The sequence below is a fragment of the Homo sapiens genome, chromosome 19, assembly GCF_000001405.40.
Source record: "Homo sapiens chromosome 19, GRCh38.p14 Primary Assembly".
Lineage (NCBI taxonomy): Eukaryota > Metazoa > Chordata > Mammalia > Primates > Hominidae > Homo > Homo sapiens.
In genome coordinates, this window is record NC_000019.10 from 9,046,051 (window position 1) to 9,068,988 (window position 22,938).

The 22,938-nt window shown below is 48.2% G+C and overlaps 1 protein-coding gene across 1 annotated transcript in view, besides 2 other annotated features; it reads right to left on the reverse strand.

Moving 5' to 3' along the window:
• Positions 1-19,701, reverse strand: part of MUC16 (mucin 16, cell surface associated) — a gene marked incomplete in the record, with an annotated part of 216,908 nt that extends 197,207 nt beyond the window's left edge. Inside the window, 1 exon segment of the mRNA NM_001414686.1 lies at positions 19,510-19,701. Within this exon segment, the coding sequence (NP_001401615.1) occupies positions 19,510-19,591 (82 nt within the window).
• Positions 3,913-4,412: an enhancer, noted in NCBI's record as "H3K4me1 hESC enhancer chr19:9160639-9161138 (GRCh37/hg19 assembly coordinates)". NCBI's record gives its function as "activates a minimal SCP1, AML or CMV promoter by ChIP-STARR-seq in naive H9 embryonic stem cells {active_cell/tissue: H9 hESC(naive)}" and the evidence as "EXISTENCE:reporter gene assay evidence [ECO:0000049][PMID:30033119]".
• Positions 8,515-9,194: an enhancer, noted in NCBI's record as "NANOG-H3K27ac hESC enhancer chr19:9165241-9165920 (GRCh37/hg19 assembly coordinates)". NCBI's record gives its function as "activates a minimal SCP1, AML or CMV promoter by ChIP-STARR-seq in primed H9 embryonic stem cells {active_cell/tissue: H9 hESC(primed)}" and the evidence as "EXISTENCE:reporter gene assay evidence [ECO:0000049][PMID:30033119]".
• Positions 19,702-22,938: the final 3,237 nt, after the last annotated feature.

Sequence of the window (22,938 nt, forward strand, 5' to 3'; positions counted from 1 at the left end):
GAGTCAAAACTAAATTCCCTCCAAGGACCTATTGGTTTGTCCCTGCCCTTATGTCCCTCCCCAGATTCCTTCTCTCCCACCTCGTTCACTCTGTTTCAGCTGCTCTGGTTTACTTGCTGTTTCTCAAACTCACTCCTGCCTCAAGTCCCTTGCATTTCCTGGAACATCCTTCCACCTACCCAAATACCTAAATAGTTCCATCCTCACTTCATTAAGTCCTCTGCTCAGATGTCACCTCTTCAAAGACTGTGCTACCTCACCCCTGAACCCTGACACCCACTACCTCTCTTGACATTGTAGGTGCTCAGTAATGTTTGTGGGATGAAAACATGATGGAAAAGAGCTTCTGCTCAAAGCTTTTTCTCCTTTTTTCTTTCTCTCCTTCCTTCCTTCTTTCCTTCCTTCCTGTTTTTTTTTTTTCTTTTTCTTTTTTTTTTTTTGATACATAGTCTCGCTCTGTCACCTAGGCTGGAGTGCAACGGCGCGATCTTGGCTCACTGCAACCTCCGCCTCCTGGGTTCAAGCGATTCTCGTGCCTCAGCCTCCTGAGTAGCTGGGATTGCAGGTGCCCGCCACCATGCCCGGCTAATTTGTTGTATTTTTAGTAGAGACGGGGTTTCACCATGTTGGTCAGGCTGGTCTCAAACTCCTGACCTCAGGTGATTCATCCTCCTCGGCCTCCCAAAGTGCTGGGATTGCAGGCATGAGCCACCACGCCTGGCCCTTCCTTCCTTCATTCCTTCCTTCCTCCCTCCCTTCCTTCTTTCTTTCTCTTTCTTTCATCTTCCTTCCTTCTCTTTCTTTCTCCCTTTCTGCTTCCTTCCTTCTTTTCCGTCCTTCCTTCTCTTTCTTTTTCTCTTTCTCCTTCCTTCCTTCCTTCCTCCCTGCCTCCCTCCCTCCCTCTTTTTCTCTCTCTTTCTCTCTTTCTTTCTTCCTTGTTTTGCCATGTTGCCCAGGCTGCTCTTGAACTTCTGGGCTCAAGGGATCCTCCCAGCTCAGCCTCCCAAGTAGCTAAGACTATAGGCACGTACAACCATGCCTAGCTAATGTTTTGTATTTTTAGTAGAAATGGGGTTTTCCCATGTTGCCCAGGCTGGTCTTGAGCTCCTGGACTCCTGGACTCAAGTACTCTTCCCACCTCTGCCTCCAAAAGTGCTAGGGTTACAGGTGAGAGCCACTGCGCCTGGCCCTCTCTCTCTCATCTCAGATTTTTCTCTCCACCTTAGCCACTCCCAGATGTTCTCCTCACTCCTGTCTCCTTCCGTTGAAAAACCACCCTCAAGCTACTGGTGGATGAAGGGTGTGGACCACCCCACCCCTGGATCAAACCCCCAAGCCCCACCTCTATCACCCACAGCTATATTTCCTTGAGCAAGTTGCTTAATCTCTCCAAGCCTCAGTTTCCTCAACTACAAAACATATACAAATAGAAAGTGATACATGACTGCTTCATTGTAGTAACCATTGCACCATCTGCATGTATCCCACAATGTCATGTAGCAAACAACAAAAATTATTAAAAAGAAAAAAAGACGATCTGATCTCACAGATCTGTTAAGAGGATTAAATGGGATTATTCATGTAAAGCTCTCCATTTGTGATGTCATAGTGTAAATATCAAATTAACGGTGGAACGAGCTGTTGTAATCAATTCTTATCTAAATACGACCAATAATAACAATGCTTAATGTGATTATTACTAACCATAGTTGTATTTCCTCTTATATTAACCTCTTAGTCTCTCCTTACCATATTATAGATCATCAATAAATATTTATTGAATGAACGATTGAATGAATGGTTATTGAATTTTTGTAAGGAGGAAAAGATCACGGACTTCTTATAAAAAATATAAAAGTCAGTCCAGATGCGATGGCTCATGCCTGTAATCCAGCACTTTGGGAGGCCGAGGTGGGCTGATCACTTAAGGTCAGGAGTTCGAGACCAGCCTGGCCAACATGGTGAAACCCTATCTCTACCAAAAAAAAAATTAGCCAGGTGTGGTGGTGTGCACCTGTAATCCCAGCTACTCGGGAGGCTGGGGCAGGAGAATCACTTGAACCCAGGAGGCAGAGGTTGCAGTGAGCCGAGATCATGCCACTGCACTCCAGCCTGGGCAACAGAGTGAAACTCCGTCTCAAAAAAAAAGAAAAAGAAAAGTATAAAAGCCAGGTCTGTGGCCAGGCACAATGGCTCAACACCTGTAATCCCAAGACTTTCAGAGGCCAAGGCGGGCAGATAACTTGAGGTGAGGAGTTTGAGACCAGCCTGGCCAACACGGTGAAACCCTATCTCTACTAAAAATACAAAAAATTAGGCCAGGCTTGGTGGCTCGTGCCTGTAATCCCAGCACTTTTTGGGGCCGAGGCAGGTAGATCACGAGGTCACGAGCTCAAGAGATGGAGACAATCCTGGCCAACATGGTGAAACCCTGTCTCTCCTAAAAATACAAAAATTAGCTGGGTGTGGTGGCGCGCCTGTAGTCCCAGCTACGTGGGAGGCTGAGGCAGGAGAATGGCTTGAACCCAGGAGGCGGAGGTTGCAGTGAGCCGAGATCACACCACTTGCACTCCAGCCTGGTGACAGAACAAGACTTCGTCTCAAAAAAAAAAGAAAAATTAGCCAGGCATGGTGGTATGTGCTTGTAATCCCAGCTACTAGGGAGGCTGAGGCAAGAGAGTCGTTTGAACCCAGGATGCAGAGGTTGTATGAGCTGAGATCACACCACTGCACTCCAGCCTGGAGGACAGAGTGAGACTCTGTCTCAAAAAGAAAAAAGAAACAAACACAACTGGGTCAGGCAAGGTGGCTCACACCTATAATCCCAGCACTTTGGGAGGCTGAGATGGGAGGATTGCTTGAGGCCAGGAGTTTGAGACCCACCTGGGCAACATGGTGAGACCCCAATTTCTACTAAAAGTATAAAAATTAGTGCCGGGCACAGTGGCTCATGCTTATAATCCCAGCACTTTGGGAGGCCAAGGTGGGCAGGTCACCTGAGGTCATGAATTCGAGACCAGCCTGACCAAAATGATGAAACCCTGATTCTACTATAAATACAAAAATTAGCCGGGCGTGGTGGCACTCGCCTGTAATCCCAGCTACTTGGGAGACTGAGACAGGAGAATCACTTGAACCCGGGAGGTGGAGGTTGCAGTGAGCCGAGATCGCGCCATTGCACTCCAGGCTGGGCAACAAGAGCGAAACTCCATCTCAAAAAAAAAAAAAAAATTAGCCAGGTGGCAGGGCACAGTGGCTCACGCCTGTAATCCCAGCACTTTGGGAGGCCAAGGCAGGCAGATCACAAGATCAGGTGTTTGGGACCAGCCTGGCCAACACGGTGAAATCCCATCTCTACTAAAAATACAAAAATTAGTTGGACGTGTTGGCGGGCGCCTGTAATCCCAGCTACTCGGGAGGCTGAGGCAGGAGAATTGCTTGAACCCGGGAGGTGGAGTTTGCAGTGAGCCGAGATCACGCCACTGCCCTCCAGCCTGGGTGACAGAGTGAGATTCCATCTCAAAAAAAAAAAAAATTAGCTGGGCATGGTGGTGCGTGCCCATAGTCTCAGCTCCTTGGGAGGTTAAGGCACGAGAATCGCTGGAACCCAGGAGGAGGAGGTTGCAGTGAGCCAAGATCGTGCCACTACACTCCAGCCTGGCTAAGAGAGAGACTCTGTCTCAAAAATAAAAACAAAAGAGTTATTGGCCTGGCGTGGTGGCTCACGCCTGAAATCCCAACACTTTGAGAGGCCAAAGCAGGTGGATCGGATCATCTGAGGTCAGGAGTCAGAGACCAGCCTGGCCAACATGGCAAAACCCCATCTCTACTAAAAAAATGCAAAAAATAGCCAGGCGTGGTGGTGCGTGCCTGTAATCCCAGCTACTTGGGAAGCTGAGGCAGGAGAATTCCTTGAACCCGGGAGGTGGAGGTTGCAGGGAGCTGAGATCGTGCCACTGCACTCCAGCTTGGGTGAAAGAGCTAGACTCTGTCTCAAAAAAAAAAGAAAAAGGTTCTTGTAAGGACTCTGTGAGATGGACCACAGGCATGGGTCTCGGCACAATCTGTTTGTTTGTTTGTTTGTTTGTTTGTTTGTTTGTTACGGAGTCTCGCTTTACCCCCCAGGCTGGAGTGCAGTGGTACGATCTCGGCTCTCTGCCACCTCTGCCTCCCGGGTTCAAGTGTTTCTCCTGCCTCAGCCTCCCAAGTAGCTGGGATTACAGACACCCACCACCACGCCCGGCTAATTTTTGTTTTTTTAGTAGAGACAGGGTTTTGCCATGTTTCCCGGGCTGGTCTCCAACTCCTGACCTCAAGTGATCCGCCCACCTCGGCCTCCCAAAGGGCTAGGATTACAGAAGTAAGCCAGTGCACCTGGCCAGCACAATCGTTCTTGCTCCCTAGATGTGAACTGCTGTTTTCACCAGCAGGAGCTAAGGGGCAGGCTGTCTCAGATTAGATGCTTTTTAGAGCACTCTGTAGTTCCTTAAATGGAGCTGCAAATCCACAGGTTGCTGCTCAATGTCTGACTAGCTTCTACTTTATTTCTGACTTTATTTCTCATCTGTCTCCACCACACCCCTCCCTTCCACATACCCTGCATTCCAGCAAAACTGACCAATGCATCACATGCCAGACACACCCTGTGATGTCTACCCCAGGACCCTTGCACAGGCTTCTGCCTCAAGAGAGCTCATGATCCAGTGGACAGGCGTGGGCATTGGAATCTCACAAGCCCAGATCACCTCCCAGTTTCACCTCTTCAATGCTATTGACCTTTGGGGACTGACAAAACCTCTCTGAACTTCAGTTTGCCCAGATATAGCATGGACTGAAAAAATGTGTACCTTCTAGGTACAAGTCATGCCTCACTCAGCAACGGGGATATATCCTGAGAAATGCATCACTAGGCAATTTTGTCATTGTGCAAATACCATAGAGTGTACTTATACAAACCTACATGGTATAGCAACTACACACCCAGGCTGTAGGGTATGACCTCTAGATTTTACATATATATATATATATATATATATATATATATATATATATATATATATATAAATATATATATTTTTTTTTTCCAGATGGAGTTTTGCTCTTTCGCCCAGGCTGCAGTGAAGTGGCACAATCTCAGCTCACTGCAACTGCTGCCCCCAGGTTCAAGTGATTCTCCTGCCTCAGTCTCCCCAGTAGCTGGGATTACAGGCACCTGGCACCTCACCCGGCTAATTTTGTACTTTTAGTAGAGATGGCGTTTCACCACGTTGGCCAGGCTGGTCTCGAACTCCTGATCTCAGGTGATCCACCCGCCTCAGCCTCCCAAATTGCTAGGATTATAGGTGTGAGCCACTGCGCCCAGCCTTAAAATTTATATTTTAACTTAAAATATATTTACAACTAGAGATGGGTCTCACTATGTTGCCCAGGCTAGTCTTGAAGTCCTGGGCTCAAGTGATCCTCTCACCTTGGCCTCCCAAAGTCCTGGGATTATGGATATGAGCCACTGCACCAGGCCAATGATAAGCGTTTGTGTATCTACATGTATTTAAACATAGAGAAAGGACAGTAAAAATACAGTATTACAATCTCTTGGGACCACTGTCATATATGCAGTCTGTCATTGACTGAAATGTTGTTATACAGCACATAATTGTACTGAATGAGGATTAAAGCTAATGGGACATTTAGCCAGGTGCAGTGGCTCACGCCTGTAATCCCAGCACTTGGGAGGCCGAGGTGAGCAGATCACCTGAGGTCAGGAGTTCGAGGCCAGCCTGGACAACATGTTGAAACCCCTGTCTCTACTAAAAATACAAAAATTAGCCGGGCGTTGTGGCAGGCGCCAACTACTCGGGAGGCTGAGGCAGGAGAATCAGTTGAACTCAGGAAGCAGAGGTTGCAGTGAGCAGAGATAGCACCACTGTAATCCAGCCTGGGCAATAGAGTGAGATGCTGTCTCAGAAATAAATAAATAAATAAATAAGTCGGGCGAGGTGGCTTACGCCTGTAATCACAGCACCTTGGGAGGCCAAGGTGGGTGGATCACGAGGTTAGGAGTTCAAGACCCGTCTGGCCAAGATGGTGAAACCCCATCTGTACTAAAAATACAAAAATTAGCCGGACATGGTGGCAGGTGCCTGTAATCCCAGCTACCCAGGAGGCTGAGGCAGAGAATTACTTGAACCCAGTAGGTGGAGGTTGCAGTGAGCCGAGATTGTGCCACTGCACTCCAGCTTTGGCGACAAAGTGAGACTCTGTCTCAAAAAAAAATATATATATATATTTATATATATATATACACACACACATATATACTTACAATACATAATAATATTAATAACATGATATAAATATTAACAACTTAGTATAATGATAGTAAGGATTTACCATGTCAGGCATCTTTCCAAAAACTCTTAATATATTAAATCATAGAATTCTCACAACAACTTTTTTTTTTTTCAAACGGGGTCTCACTCTGTCACCCAGGCTGGAGTACAGTGGTGCGATCTTGGTTCACTGCAACCACTAACTCCTGAGTTCAAGCGATTCTCCTACCTCAGCCCCCTGAGTAGCTGGGACTACAGGAGTGCACTACCATGCCCAGCTAGTTTTTGTGTTTTAAGTAGAGACAGGGTTTCACCATGTTGGCCAGGCTGGTCTCAAACTCCTGATCTCAAGTGATCTGCCCGCCTCGACCTCCCAACGTGCTGAGATTACAGGCACCTGGCACCGTGCCCAGCTCGTTTTTGCATTTTTAGTAGCGATGGGGTTTCACCATATTGGCCAGGCTGGTCTCGAACTCCTGACCTCAAGTGATCTACCTGCCTTGGCCTCCCAAAGTGCTGGGATTACAGGCATTATCTACTGCACCAGGCCCTCACAACAACATTTTGATAGTACTATTATTAAGCTCATTTCACAGATGAGGAACCTGAGAGAGGTAAGGAGAAGTACAATAATCTGCCTAAGGTCGTCGTGGAGCTACTAATTGGCTAAGCAGCTCCTGGAAGTCTCGCTAGAGAGTGTCACTGTTTAATGGACCGTTGGACATTTCCTAAGCCTTGGGTGTGTTTTACATCATTCACTAGCCATGCACAGCTAGTGAGCTCTTGCAATGCAGCTACTGGGGCTACCACAGTTGTAGCCATAATGCTATGTACTATGGGTGAGGAACTTAATTTTTTTTTTTTAATTTGTATTAGCCAAGCATGGTGATGTGCACCTGTAGTTCCAGCTACTCGGGAGGCTGAGATGGGAAGATCGCTTGAGCCTAGGAGGTGGAGGCTGCAGTGAGCTGTATTTGTGCCATTGCACTCCAGCCCGGGTGACACAATGAGATCCCATCTCAAAACAAAAACCAGGTCATAGGTAGATAAAGAGACAAAAGGTTGCCTTCTTTTGAGTTTCTGATGAGCCTCTCCAAAGGAGCCAATCAGATATGAATGTATCTAAGTGAGCACAGGAGGGACTCTGAATAGAATGAGAGGCAGGTTGGCCCTGAGCAGTTCCCAGCTTGACTTTTCGCTCTAGCTTAATGATTTTGAGAGGTGAAGCCCGCTGGGCTTCTGGGTCAGGTGGGGACTTGGAGAACTTTTCTATTTAGCTAAAGGATTGTAAACGCACCAATCAGCATTCTGTGTCTAGCTAAAGGTTTGTAAATGCACCAATCAGGACTCTGTAAAAACACACCAATCAGCGCTCTGTGTCTAGCTAAAGGTTTGTAAACGCACCAATCAGCCCTCTGTAAAAACATACCTATCCGCGCTCTGTAAAAACGGACCAATCAGCCCTCTGTAAAATGGACCAATCAGCGATCTGTAAAATGGACCAATCAGCAGGAAGTGGTTGGGGCCAAATAAGGTAATAAAAGCTGGCCATCTGAACCAGCAGTGCCAACCTGCTCATGTCCCCTTCCACATTGTGGAAGTTTTGTTCTTTTGTTCTTCATAATAAATCTTCCTGCTGCTCACTCTTTGAGCCCACACTACTTTTATGAGCTGTTAACACTCACTGTGAAGGTCTACAGCTTCACTCCTGAAGTCAGCCAGACCAGGAACCCACTGGAAGGAAGAAACTCCGGACACATCTGAACATCTGAAGGAACGAACTCGGGACACACCATCTTTAAGAACTGTAACACTCACTGCAACGGTCTGCGGTTTCATTCTTGAAGTCAGCAAGACCAAGAACCCACCGGAAGGAACCAATTCCGGACACAATCTGGGGACCCCGAAATTTACTTTCCCTTCACAGTCCCCTCCCTCTTCCTTCTTTCTCCTCCTCACTTCCTTTGTCTCTCTCCCCTTTCTCCTCACTCTTCCCTCATCTGATTCTCTCTCCATCTGTCTCCTTTTTTGTTGTTGTGGTGGTGGTTGTTGAGTTGGAGTCTCACTCTGTTGCCCAGTCTGGAGGCTAATGGCATGACCTTGGCTCACTGCAACGGCTGCCTCCCGAGTTCAAGCAATTCTTCTGCCTCAGCTTCTCAAGTAGCTGCGATTATAGGCACGCACCTGGATAATTTTTGTTTTGTTCTTTTTTTTGATGGAGATGGGGTTTCACTGTTTTCCAAGCTGGTATCGAACTCCTGGGTGCAAGTGATCCTCCCGCCTCCGCCTCCCAAAGTGCTGGGATTACAGGTGTGAGCCACTGCCCCCAGTTCCTTCTCTCTCTTCTGTCTGCCGCTTCTCATCCCTTCCACCCAACCAGGGCGGGAGAGGGAGGGGGATGAAACCAGGACGGGGAGGTGGGAGAGGGATGAAACCAGGGCGGGGAGGTGGGAGAGGGATGAAACCAGGGCGGGGAAGTGGGAGAGGGATTACAAACTCCCTCTATTTACTCTCAAGCTTCTCTGTTTCCACCTCCACTAACCCTGGAACCCTGAGGCGCCCCAGGCCTGCAGTGTATAAATGCCTTCCTGGCAGGCCTTGCTGAGACTTGAGCTCAGCAGTCCTCACCCTCCTTAATCCTAACCAAACAGGATCTGTCACTAGGCTCAGCGTGCAGAGGACGCCTCGGGTCCTTTTCCTCCTGCGAAACCACAGAGGCAGCCCTAGGGGCAAACAATAAAACAGTGTGGAGGGCTGGGGGATGAGGGTGGGAGCATGCCTGGCAGGGAACGTTTCTTTTTTTTTCCTCCTTCAAAAATTGGAGGGGAGGCCTGGCGCGGTGGCTCACGCCTGTAATCCCAGCACTTTGGGAGGCCGAGGCGGGCGGATCATCTGAAGTCAGGAGTTGGAGATCAACCAGACCAATATGGTGAAACCCCATCTATACTAAAAATACAAAAATTAGCCAGGTGTGGTGGTGGGAGGCTGTAGTCCGAGCTACTCAGGAGGCTGAAACAGAAGAATTGCTTGAACCCGAGAGTTAGGTGGCAGTGAGCCGAGATCGTGCCATTGCCCTCCAGCCTGGGTGACAGAGTGAGTCTCAAACAAACAAACAAGCAAAAAAAAAAAAAAAAAACAAGGAAGGGGATCAAAACTGTCAGTTGGGACAAATACAGGCTTTACTATGGTAATTCTCTGGCTTTGAGCCAAGGACTGCACCCTCCCCAGGGGGCAGCGCTGAGAGCTAAGTCACCCAGGATGGTTTAAAATTAAACTCAATTTTCAACATTGTAACTCCTCACAGACAAACACAACTGTGTTTACTAATAGCATTTCTCGGTTTTATCTGACTTTTGAGTTCTGAAGTCGGGAGATGTGGAGGCTGGAAGTATAAACTGAGACGAAGTGGGCAGAACAGCTCCCTCCCGGCTTCCCCATCCCCAGCCAGCCTCTCTGATTTTCTTTTTCTTTCTCTTTTTCTTTTTTTTTTTTGAGATGGAGGCTTGCTCTGTCACCCAGGCTGGAGTGTAGTGGCCCGATCTCAGCTCACTGCGACCTCTGCCTCCCAGACTCAAGTGATTCTTCTGCCTCAGCCTCCCAGGTAGCTGGGATTACGGGCACGCGCCATGATGCCAGGCTATTTTTTTATTTTTATTTATTTATTTTTTAAAGTAGCGATGGCGTTTCACCATGATGGCCAGGCTGGTCTCGAACTACTGACCTCAGGTGGTCCGCCCACCTCGGTCTCCCAAAATGCTGGGATTACAGGCATGAGCTCCTGCACCTGGCCCAGCCTCTCTGGTTTTGATCTAAGTCATGCCCAAAGCTTGGAAGCGGCTTTACACTACCTTTCTTTGCTCAAAAATTTGCCATCCATCTATCTGTCTGTCCATGCAATAAATATCTAGTGATCTAATAGAGGCTGAATTCTGTGCTAAAAGCTAAGGATTATGGTATTATTTATTTATTTATTTATTTATTTATTTATTTTGAGACGGAGTCTCTCTCTGTCACCCAGACCGGAGTGCAATGGCGTGATGTCGGCTCACTGCAACCTCCACCTCCCGGGTTCAAGCAATTCTTCTGCCTCGGCCTCCCGAGTAGCTGGGATTACAGGCGTGCCCCACCATGCCCAACTAATTTTTGTATTTTTAGTACAGATGGGGTTTCACCATGTTGGCCAGGCTGGTCTCGAACTCCTGACCTCGTGATCCACCTGCCTCAGCCTCCCAAAGTGCTGTGATTACAGGTGTGAGCCATCGCGCCCGGCCCTATTATTACTATTACTACTATAACAATAAAAACAGCAATTTATTTATTTATTTATTGCAAGACAGAGTCTTACACTGTTGCCCAGGCTGGAGTGCAGTGGCAGATCACGGCTCACTGCAGCCGCAACCTCCCAGGCTGAAGCTATCTTTCTGCCTCAGCCTCCTGAGTAGCTGAGACCACAGGTGTGTGCCACTATGCCTAGCTAGTTCTTTAATTTTTGTAGAGATGGGGTCTAGCTATGTTGCCAGGGCTAGTTTTGATTTTTTTTTCTTGTAGAGGTAGGGTCTTGCTGCATTGCCCAGGCTGGCCTCGAGCTCCTGGGCTCAAGCGATTCTCTCGCCTCAGGCTCTCAAAGTGCTGGGACTTTGGCTGGGATTACAGGCGTGCACCATCATGCCTGGCTAATTTTTGTATTTTTTGATAGAGACATGATTTCACTGTGTTTTCCCGGCTGGTCTCGAACTCCTGGCCTCAAGTGATCCTCCTGCCTCGGCTTCCCAAAGTGGTGGGATTACAGGCATGAGCCACTATGCCCAGCTCCATCTCTCTCTTCTATCTGCTGCTACTTCTAGAATACGTAGTGGGCGCAGAATAGGGACTATTTAAGTGTTTGCTGGCCAGACATGGTATCCCATGCCTGTAATCCCAGTACTTTGGGAGACACATAGCCCCTATTCTGTACCCACTACGTATTCTAGGAGTTGTTTATTTAGTCCTTCTAGAAACATTTCAAACCTGATGTGGTGGCTCACGCCTGTAACCCCAACACTTTGAGAGGCTGAGGCAGGAGAATCGCTTGAACCCAAGAGTTTGAGGCCAGGCTGAGCAATGTAGCAAGACCCTATCTCTGCAAGAAAAAAAAAATCAAAAAATTAGTCAGGCATAGTGATGCACCTCTATGGTTCCAGCTACTTGGGTGGCTGAGGTGAGAGCATTGCTTGAACCCAGGAGGTTGAGGCTTCAGTGAGCTGAGATCACCTTGCCACTGCATTCCAGCCTGGGTGACACAGCAAGACCCTGCCTCAGAAATAAATAAATAAATAAATAAATAAATAAATAAATAAATAAATAAAAACCCTTCTACATCTCCCATTTTATAGAGGAGGATACAGAGGTTCAGAGAGGCCCCCAAGTCGTATGGCTGAGCTGGGATTTGAACCCACAATGATGGGTGCTCTTCACCACCTTGCAGCTTGCCACTCTCATGAAAAACATACAGTCTGGTGCGGCACACATGATAACTACACAAACAAGGTAATTCAGATATTTAAATGCTCTAAAGATTCTACATCAGGTTATTTCCAGTATTATTTTCCTGGTCATCCCTGGAAGGATGAGAAGGAACCAACCTTCAGAAGAGCTGCAGAGAGAACACCCAGACAGAGTAAAAAGCAAGTGCAAAGGCCCTGTGGTCCAAACCACTTAAAAAGATTTGGAAGCAGCAGAGGTCAGAGTAGCAGGAAGGAAGAGACAAGAGGCAACAGAGCAGGATATGATGATTTCAGGCCACAGGGGGAGTTTGGGTTTCGTTGTTTCTTTTTTGAGATAGGTTCTGGCTCTGTTTCCCGGGCTGGAGTGCAGTGGTGCAGTTTCAGCTCACTGCCTATCTTCACCTCCCGGGTCAAGCCATCCTCCCGCCTCAGCCTCTCAAGTAGCTGGGATTACAGGCATGTGCCATCACGCCTGGCTAATTTTTTTTTTTTTTTTGAGACAGAGTTTTGCTCTTGTTGCCCAGGCTGGAGTGCAACGATGCGATCTCGGCTCACTGCAACCTCCGTCTCTCAGGTTCAAGCGATTCTCCTGCCTCAGCCTCCTGAGTAGCTGGGATTACAGGCATGTGCCACCATGCCCAGCTAATTTTGTATTTTTAGTAGAGACGGGGTTTCTCCTTGTTGGTCAGGCTGGTCTTGAACTCTCGACCTCAGGTGGTCCACCCGCCTCAGCCTCCCAAAGTGCTGGGATTACAGGTGTGAACCACCGTGCCAGGCTTTAATTTTTTTTTTTTTTGGAGATGGAGTTTTGCTCTTGTTGTCCATGCTGGAGTGCAATGGCGTGATCTCGGCTCACTGCAACCTCCGCCTCCCGGGTTCAAGCGATTCTCTTGCCTCCGCTTCCCGAGTAGCTGGGATTACAGGCGCCTGCCACCATGCCTGGCTAATTTTTTGTATTTTTAGTAGAGACGGGGTTTCACCATGTTGGCCAGGCTGGTCTCGAACTCCTGACCTCAGGTGATCCGCCCGCCTCGGCCTCCCAAAGTGCTGGGATTACAGGCATGAGCCACCGTGCCCAGCCGTTAATATTTGTATTGTTTGTAGGGGCATGGTCTTGCTATGTTGCCTAGGCTGGTTTGGGTTTTATCCCCAGTAGGACAGGATTCTAGGAGCACAGCAGGGATGGGGTGGCCATTTTACAAGCACTCCAGGGGTGGGGTTGGTAAAAGCGTCACGTCCCAGCTGTCCTCCCTCTAGGATGTTTATCACCCCTGTCCTGCAAGATCTAATTCTATGATGTCTTTGCTGCCCCTGAATGACAACAACAAGGCAGATTACCCCAACTCTTTCCCCTCTGCTGTATATTTAAGCACCTCCCCTTTGACTTTATATCCTGGACTAGTCTGTGTAAAGACAAAGAAAAACGAGAAACAAGAGGCTTAATTCTTCCTGTATTCTGGTTTCGGGGAAGGGTCAAAATATAACTTCAGTGGATGCCTTGCTCCAAATTGCAAAACTCCCTCCTGTCATGATGAAAGATGTGTTTTTCCCCTGGATAAAGCCAATTAGCTCACACCGTCGTCACAATGACTAGGTGGCTCCAGGATGAACTATGCGTTTGATAAACGGTGCTGTCAAGTTCTGTTACTGGAGAACTAATGATTATTTATCATGAGGCATGAAGGTGACAGGTTTATCTGCTTGGCTATAGAAAAAGGGTGAGATGTAGGCTGGACACGATGGCTCATGTCTGTAATCCCAGCACTTTGGGAGGCCGAGGTGGGCAGATCACAAGGTCAGGAGCTCGAGACCATCCTGGCAACACGTTGAAACCCCGTCTCTACTAAATATACAAAAAATTAGCCGGGTGAGATGGTGGGCGCCTGTAGTCCCAGCTACTCGGGAGGCTGAGGCAGGAGAATGGTGTGAACCTGGGAGGCGGAGGTTGCAGTGAGCCGAGATTGCGTCACTGCACTCCAGCCTGGGCGACAGAGCAAGACTCTGTCTCAAAAAAAAAAAAAGAAAAAGAAAGAGGGTGAGAGGCAGGCTGGACACGGTGGCTCATATCTGTAATCCCAGCACTTAGGGAGGATGAGGCAGGCGGATCACTTGAGGCTAGGAGTCTGAGACCAGCCATGGTAAGACCCCATTTCTACTAAAAATACAAAAATGAGGGCTGGGCATGGTGGCTCAAATGCCTGTAATCCCAGCATATTGGAAGGCCAAGGTGGGTGGATCGCTTGAGTTCAGGAGTTTGAGATCAGCCTGGCCAACATGGCAAAACCCCGTCTCTACTAAAAATAAAAAAATTAGCCAGACATGGTGGCGGGCGCCTGTAATCCCAAAAAAAATTAGCCAGACATGGTGGCGGGCGCCTGTAATCCCAGCTACTCCGGAGGCTGAGGTGGAAGGATCATTTGAACCGGGGAGGGGAAGGTTGCAGTGAGCCAAGTTCACACCACTACAATCCAGCCTGGGCGACAAAGCGAGACTCCGTCTCAAAAACAAAACAAGGCCGGGTGCAGTGGCGCATGCCTGTAATCCCAGCACTTTGGGAGGCTGAGATGGGTGGATCACAAGGTCAGGAGATCGAGACCATCCTGGCTAACACGGTGAAACCCCATCTCTACTAAAAATACAAAAAAATTAGCCGGGCGTGGTGGTGGGCGCCTGTAGTCCCAGCTACTCGGGAGGCTGAGGCCTGAGAATGGCATGAACCCGGGAGGCAGAACTTGCAGTGAGCCGAGATTGTGCCACTGCACTCCAGCCTGGGCGACTGAGCAAGACTCTCTCAAAAACAAAACAAAACATTAGCTGGGTATGGTGTCTCTTGCCTGTAATCCTAGCTACTCAAGAGGCTGAGGCAGGAGAATCGCTTGAGCCCAGGAGGCGGACCTTACAGTGAGCTGAGATCACTGAACTGCACTCCAGTTTGGGCGACAGAGCGAGACTCTGTCTCAAAAAAATAAATAAATAAAATAAATGAAAAAGGGCAAGATTTCTTTCTGCCTTTGCAATGTCCTAGGCCTTATCTACGACGTGCACCACACTCTGGATGAATGCTTATTCAGTGATAACATTAAGGGGTATTTTTTTCCTTTCCCTTCTACTTTTGTGGAGAGGTTTCCTGAGTTGAGAGAAGATTCTTGCATTTAGTTGTATTTCCACAACATCAGCACGTCCTACATTTTTTAAATCTGCCCAGCCAGCCTGAATTTCAGGAAGCCAGAGAGGCCCTAGTTGGTTGCTCTTATTTATTTACTTAGAGACACAGTCTCACTCTGTTGCCCCAAGCTGGAGTGCAGTGATGGAAATCTCCGCTCACTCCAACCTCTGCCTCGTGGATTCAAGTGATTCTCGTGCTTCAGCCTCCCGAGGAGCTCGGATTACAGGCACTGACCACCACACCCAGCTAATTTTTTTGTATTTTTAGTAGAGATAGGGTTTCGCCATGTTGGCCAGGCTGGTCTCGAACTCCCAACCTGAGTTGATCTGCCCGCCTCGGCCTCCCAAAGCGCTGGGATTACAGGTGTGAGCCACGGCGCCTGGCCTGTTGCTATAATTTTAGAGAAACACAGTGGGCTCTATCATTAGTCCTGGGTTCAAATCCTGTGTGGTCCTGGATAGGCCACTCAAATTCTGCCTGTTTCCTCTCTAGTAAATTAGGGTTACGTCTGACAGCATCTATTTTGGAGAGTCATTGCTAGGACTAATGGTGACAAAGAGCTTAATACAGATCCTAGCCCAGATCAAACAATTTTAGTTAATAGTAATAACCACCTTGCTTTTAGGATAGCTGAGACTCACTGGGCCAGCACCATGCCAAGCTCCTATCTTAGTAACAATGAAATGAGGCCTACCTTTACAATAAAAGCTAACATATCCTGTTGGCCATGTGGCAGGCACTGGGCTAATTCCTTTTTAGTTTTTTAAATTTTTTAGAGACAGGATCTGGCTCTGTCACCCAGGCTGGAGTGCAGTGGCATGATCTCAGCTCACTGCAACCTCTGCTTCCTGGGCTCAAGTCACCCTCCCACCGCAGCCTCCTGAGTAGCTGGGACTACAAGGGTGCACCACCACACCTGGCTAATTTTTGTATTTTTTGTAGAGACAGGGTTTCGCCATGTTGGCCAGGCTAGTCTTGAACTCTTGAGCTAAAGTGATCCGCCTGCCTTGGCCTCCCAAAGTGTGGAATTACAGGCGTGAGTCACCGTGCCTGGCTGTCTGCCTTTACTTTCTTTCTGTCCTTTTTTTTTTTTTTTTTTTTTTTGCTTTGAGACAGAGTCTCAATCTGTTGCCCAAGCTGGAGTGCAGCCGAACAATCATACCTCACTGTAGCCTCAACCTCCTGGACCCAAATGATCCTCCGACCTCAGCCTCCTGAGTAGCTGGGACTACAGGCACGTAACATCATGCCTGGCTAATTTTTATTTTATTTTTAGTAGAGAAGGTTTTGCTGTATTGCCCAGGCTGTTCTCAAACTACTGAGCTCAAGTGATCCTCCCATCTTGGCCTCCCAAAATGTTGGGACTGCAGGCCTGGCTAATTAAAAAAAAATTTTTTTGCAGAGATGGGGGTCTCACAATGTTGCCCAGGCTCGTCCTGAACTCCTGGGCTCAAGCAATTCTCCCACCTCGGCATCCCAAAGTACTGGGATTACAGGCAAGAGCCACTGCGCCTGGCCTCTCTTTGCATTTTTCTTTTCTTTTCTTCCTTTCTTTCCTCTCCCTCTCTCTCTCTCTCTCTCTCCCTTCTCTTTTTTGAGATCAAGTCTCACTCTGTTGCCCAGGCTGGAGTGCAGTGGCGTGATCTTGGCTCATTGCAACCTCCACCTCCCAGGTTCAAGCGATTATTGTGCCTCAGCAACCCAAGTAGCTGGGACTATAGGCGTGAGCCACCACACCTGGCTAATTTTTTTTTTTGTATTTTTAATACAGATGAGGTTTCACCATGTTGGCCAGGCTGGTCTCGAACTCCTGACCTCAGGTGATCTGCCCATCTCGGCCTCCCAAAGTGCCGGGATTACAGGCATAAGCCACCTAGCCCGGCCTGCATTTTTCAAGACTACAATAAACTGTCATTAACTATCGTCACCCTGCTATACAATAGATGTCTTGAATTTTTTCCTCCCATCTAACTGTAATTATGTATCTTTTTACCACCTCTCCTCATCCATCTTCCTCAACACCCTTCCCAGCCTCTGGTAACCACCATGGTAACCTGCAGACACCTTCATCTCCAACTTCCGGCCTGCAGAACGGAGAGATGATACATTTCTGTTGTTGAGGCCTCCAGTCTATGGTACTTGGTTATATCAGCCTCAGAAAACTAATGCAACCTCCAAATCCCTCATCGCTCCCTCTGAGTGTCTTGTCTACTTTTTCTCCAGTGTCCTGTAAGTCCTCAAAGCCTGCAGGGGCACATAGCAGGGGCTCAATGTACAAATGCCCATTCACTGACTACATGATCCTCCCAGGAGAGGTAGGAGAAACATGAGCCAGTTAAAGAAGAGAGACTGGGGTCGGGTGCGATGGCTCATGCCTGTAATCCCAGCACTTTGGGAAGATGAAGCAGGAGGATTGCTTGAGTCCAGGAGTTCAGGACCAGCTTGGGCAACATAGGGAGACCCTTTTTCTCTACTTTTATTTATTTTTATTTTTTATTTTTTTGGAGACGAAGTCTTGCTCCTGTCCCCCAGGCTGGGGTGCGATGGCATGATCTCGGCTCAATGCAACCTCCGCCTCCTGGGTTCAAGCGATTCTCTTGCCTCTGCTTCCTGAGTAGCTGGGATTACAGGCGCCTGCCACCACACCCAGCTAATTTTTGTATTTTTAGAGACGGGGTTTCACCATGTTGGCCAGGCTGGTCTCGAACTCCTGACCTCAGGTGATCCGCCCACCTCAGCCTTCCAAAGTGCTGGGATTACAGGCATGAGCCACCGCGCCCAGCCTCCTTTCTCTATTTTTATAAAAATTCTTGGGCTGGGCGCAGTGGCTCATGCCTGTAATCCCAGCATTTTGGGAGGCTGAGGTGGGCAGATCATGAGATCAGGAGATCAAGACCATCCTGGCTAACATGGTGAAACCCCGTCTCTACTAAAAAATACAAAAACAAATTAGCCGGGCATGACGGCGGGCGCCTGTAGTCCCAGCTACTTGGGAGGCTGAGGCAGGAGAATGGCGTGAACCCGGGAGGCAGAGCTTGCAGTGAGCCGAGTTCGAGCCACTGCACTCCACTCTGTCTCAAAAACAACCACCACCACCAAAAAAAAAAAAAAAAAAAATTCTTGGCCAGGTGTGGTGGCTTACGCCTGTAATCCCAACACTTTGGCAGGCTGAGGCAGGCGGATCACCTGAGATCAGGAGTTTGAAACCAGCCTGACCAACATAGTGAAAACCCATCTCTACTAAAAATACAAAATTAGCTGGGCGTGGTGGCACACGCCTGTAATCCCAGCTACTAGGGAAGCTGAGGCAGGAGAATTGCTTGAATCAGGAAGGCGGAGGTTACAGTGAGCCGAGATGGCACCATTGCACTCCCGCCTGGGCAACAAGAGCAAAACTCCGTCTCGAAAAAAAATAAATAAAATAAATAAAATAAAATAAGAATTATTAAAAAAAAAAAAGAGAGAGAGAGAAAGAGAGAAGAGATTGGGAACTGGCCCCACGTCTCCTGCTACAGGACCTTGGGAAAATCCTGAACCCTTTGAACCTCAGTTTGCTCCTCCATAAAACGGGGCCATCAGACCATCAGCCAATATCTCTAAGCTCCCCGTGGGATTGTGAATCCTACATGTCCCCCACCCCAGGCTTGCATGAAAAATAAGGTTTCTCTTGGGTGCCACACAGAGAGGATCCCTTCTGTGTCCCTCAAGCCATCTGTGACCGTCCCACTTCATAAAAGCAAAGGTCACTTGCTCATTGAAACTTCCTCTGTGCCAGGCAAGAGCTGCATCGCCCCAACAGGCCCCTCAAGCAAGATGCTATTATCATTATCATGATGCCCTTTTTGCAGATGGGGAAAAGTGAGGCTCAGAAAGACCAAGTCCGCAGGCCCCATCTCTACTGAAAATACAAAAACATTAGCGCCCGTAATCCCAGCTACTCCGGAGGCTGAGGCAGGAGAATTGCTGAGATCGCGCCATTGCACTCCAGCCTGGGCGACAAGACCAAAACTCTGTCTCAAAAAAAAAAAGAAAAAGAAAGTAAAGGGGGAGAAGGAAAGGAAGAGGGTGGTTGGGAACACAGAAGAGGTGACAATTGGGTAGGGACTCAAGCTGGAAAGGGGGACAAAGTGGAAGCTGGGTGCAGTGGCTCATGCCTGTAATCCCAGCACTTTGGGAGGCCAAGGCGGGAGGATCACTTGTGCCTGGGAGTTCTAGACCAACCTGGCCAACACAGGGAGACCTCGTCTCTGCAAAATATTTAAAAACAATTAGCTGAGCTAGGTGGCACACATCTGTGGTCCCAGCTACTTGGGAGGCTGAATTGGGAGAAGCACTTGAGTTTGGAGGTCTAGGCTGCTGTGAGCCGTGATCATGCCACCATACTCCAGCCTGGGCAACAGAGCAAGATCCTGTCAAAAAAAGGAAGGAAGGAGTGGGGTTGACATGCAAGGCCATTTGAGGATGGGCTGGGACATTGTGGACTCATTTCCCTCCTCCCCAGAGGACCAGAAGGAGCAAGAGATCCCCTTACCTGTGGGCAGCAGGTATCTCAGCATTAGTAACACCAGGGCCCACCGCCGGCCTCCAGGGGCACCCTGCCACAGGCCAGCCATTCACGGCTTCAGGAAGACTTGGGGGCTGCTCTTTGCCCTCGTTCCAGCCCCCCAGCCAAGCCCAGAGACATGTCCAGCAGCTCCAGGCGGCCAGGTGCCTAAGATCTGGCGGGTATCAAATGTGCCCAGTCAGCCTAATCCCTGCGAGGCTGGGCGGGGCTGGGAAGGATCCCCTCGCCTATTCCCAGGCCCTGATTGGCTCCCTGGGCCCTTGGTTCTGCCTGTCTGGGCTCCCAGGAAGACAGGGCTCCATGGGCATTGAGGGGAGCGGGAGTTTCAGCTGCCAGGCTCAGCTGCGGGTGTCAGGAAAAGTCTCCCTAGAATGTTCCCCAGACCCAGAGCTGCACTGCGACTTTCATGGGCCACAATCACTTTTGCAATTTACCCATTACTTTTTTTTTTTTTTTTGAAAGGAAGTCCTATTGTGTTGCCCAGGCTGGAATGCAGTGGTGCCATCTTGTCTCACAGCAAACTCCGCCTCCCGGTTCAAGCGATTCTTGTACCTCAGCCTCCCGAGTAGCTAGGACTACAGGCACACACCACCATGCCCAGCTAATTTTTGTATTTTTTAGTAGAGACAGGGTTTCACCATGTTGGTCAGGCTGGTCTCGAACTCCCTATCTCAAGTGATCCGCCAGCCTTGGCCTCACAAAGTGCTGAGATTACAGGCGTGAGCCACAGCGCCCAGCCTATACTTACATTCCTCCCTCCCCAGCTTTATTGAAGGATGATTGGCAAATAAAACATTAAATATCTTATAATTTGTAATAATTTTTGAGCAAAGAGGCTCCCATTTTCACTTTGCACTGGACCCTGCAAATCACGCCTCTGGTCCTGCTGCAAGCGGTAGTCTCTGCTATTCCACAGCAGCCTCATGTTCTCTCTCTGTGACGCTCTGAATTGTATCCCCCTCAAATTCACAAGTTGAAGCCTTTACTTCCGATGTGACTGCATTCAGCAACAGTTTTCAGGCTGGGCGCAGTGGCTCATGCCTGTAATCCCAGCACTTTGGGAGGCCGAGGAGGGTGGATCACCTGAGGTCGGGAGTTCGAGACCAACCTGACCAACATGGAGAAACCCCATCTCTACTAAAAATACAAAAATCAGCTGGGTGTGGTGGTGGGCACCTGTAATCCCAGCTACTCAGGAGGATTCAAGCGATTCTTCTGCCTCAGCCTCCCAAGTAGCTGGGATTACAGGTGCACGCCACTACACCTGGGTAATTTTTTTTTTTTTTAGATGGAGTCTTGCTCTGTCGCCAGGCTGGAGTGCACTGGTGCGATAGCTCACTGCAACCTCCACCTCCCAGGCTCAAGTGATCCTCCCACCTCAGTCTCCCGAGTAGCTGGGTTACAGGTGTGCACCACCACATCTGGCTAATTTTTGTATTTTTAGTAGAGACAGGGTTTCACCATGTTGCCCAGTCTGGTCTCGAACTCCTGAGCTCAAGCAATCCTCCCGACTCTACTTCCCAATGTGCTGGGATTATAGGCATGAGCCACTGCACTTGGTCATCTAAGTCTTATTGCTTATCTCCAGCACCTATCAACTTAGAATATGCTTGCTAAATGAATAAATATGTGAATTAAAGAATAAGTGGGCTGGGCATGGTGGCTCACACTTGTAATCCCAGCACTTTGGGAGGCTGGGTCAGGTGGATCATGAGGTCAGGAGTTCAAGACCAGCCTGACCAACATGGTGAAACCCTGTCTGTACTAAAAATACAAAAAATTAGCTGGGCGTGGTAGTGGGCACCTGTAATCCCAGCTACTTGGGAGGCTGTGGCAGAGAATTGCCTGCATCAGGGAGGTGGAGGTTGCAGTGAGCCGAGATCGTGCCACTGCATTCCAGCCTGGGAGACAGAGTGAGTCCGTCTCAAAAAAAAAAAAAAAATGAAAATAGAGTTGGCTTTGAGTGGAGAGAAATCAAGGAGGACCACCCAGAGGAGGTATTCAAAACCTTCCAGTTAAAATTTGCCCACCAGCTTTGCCATATAATGTGGAATCAGAGAGTGTGATGTCTCCAGCTTTGTTCATTTTGCTTGAGATGGCTTTGGCTATTTGGGGTCTCTATCAATGGATAAATGGATAAAGAAAATGTGTGTATATATATACACACACACACACACACACACACACACACACACACACACGATGAATACTATACAGCCTTAAAGAAGAAGGAAATACTGTCATTTTTGACCACACGGACGAACCTGGGGGACATTGTGCGAAGTGAAATAAGCCAGGCACAGTGAGACAAATACTGTGCGATTTCGCTTAACTGTGGTATCTGAAAAGATCAAATTGGTCGGGCGAGGTGGCTCACGCCTGTAATCCCAGCACTTCGCGAGGCCAAGGCGGGAGGATCACTTGAGGTCGGGAGTTTGAGACCAGCCTGGCCAACATGGCGAAACCCCGTCTCTATGAAAATTACAAAAAAAAAAAATTAGCTGGGTGTGTTATCGTACCTGTGATCCCAGTTACTTGGGAGGCTGAGGCATGAGAATTGCTTGAACTGGGAGACAGAGGTTGCAGTGAGCCATGATCACGCCACTGCACTCCAGCCTGGTGAGAGAGCAAGACTACATCTCAAAAATAAATAAGTAAAATAAAAAGGTTAAACTCATGGAATTAGAGAGTAGAATGATGGTTACCAGGGCTGGGGAAGTGGGAAGACTGAAGAGAGTTAGTTGGTCAAAGGACACATGTTTTAGTTAGCAGGAATAAGTTCTAGTGATCTATTGTAACTATAGGTCAAAATAATGTATTACATATTTCTTTTTTTTTTTTTTGAGACAGAGTCTCGCTCTGTCACCCAGGCTGAAGTGCAGTGGCCCGATCACAGTTCACTGAAACCTCCGCCTCGCAGGTTCAAGCGATTCTCCCGCCTCAGCCTGCTGAGTAGCTGGGATTACAGGTACACGCCACTACACCCAGCTAATTTTTGGATTTTTAGTAGAGACGGGGGTTTCACCATGTTGGTCAGGCTGGTCTTGAACTCCTGACCTCAGGTGATCCACCTGCCTCGGCCTCCCAAAGTGCTGGGATTACAGGTATGAGCCACCATGCCCGGCCCACATATTTGAAAATTGCTAAAAAGAGTTTATTTTACATAGCGACGTCGCTATTAAGAAAAAAAAAAGTTTATTTTAAATGCTCTTACCACACACACACACACACACACACACACACACACACACACACACGATAAGTAGGTGAGTTGATGGCTATGTTAATTAGCTTCTTAAATAATTCCACAAGATATACATACAAATATCAAAATATCAGATTGTACCCCATAAATAGATACAATTATTATTTGTCATTAAACTTTTTAAATAAAGA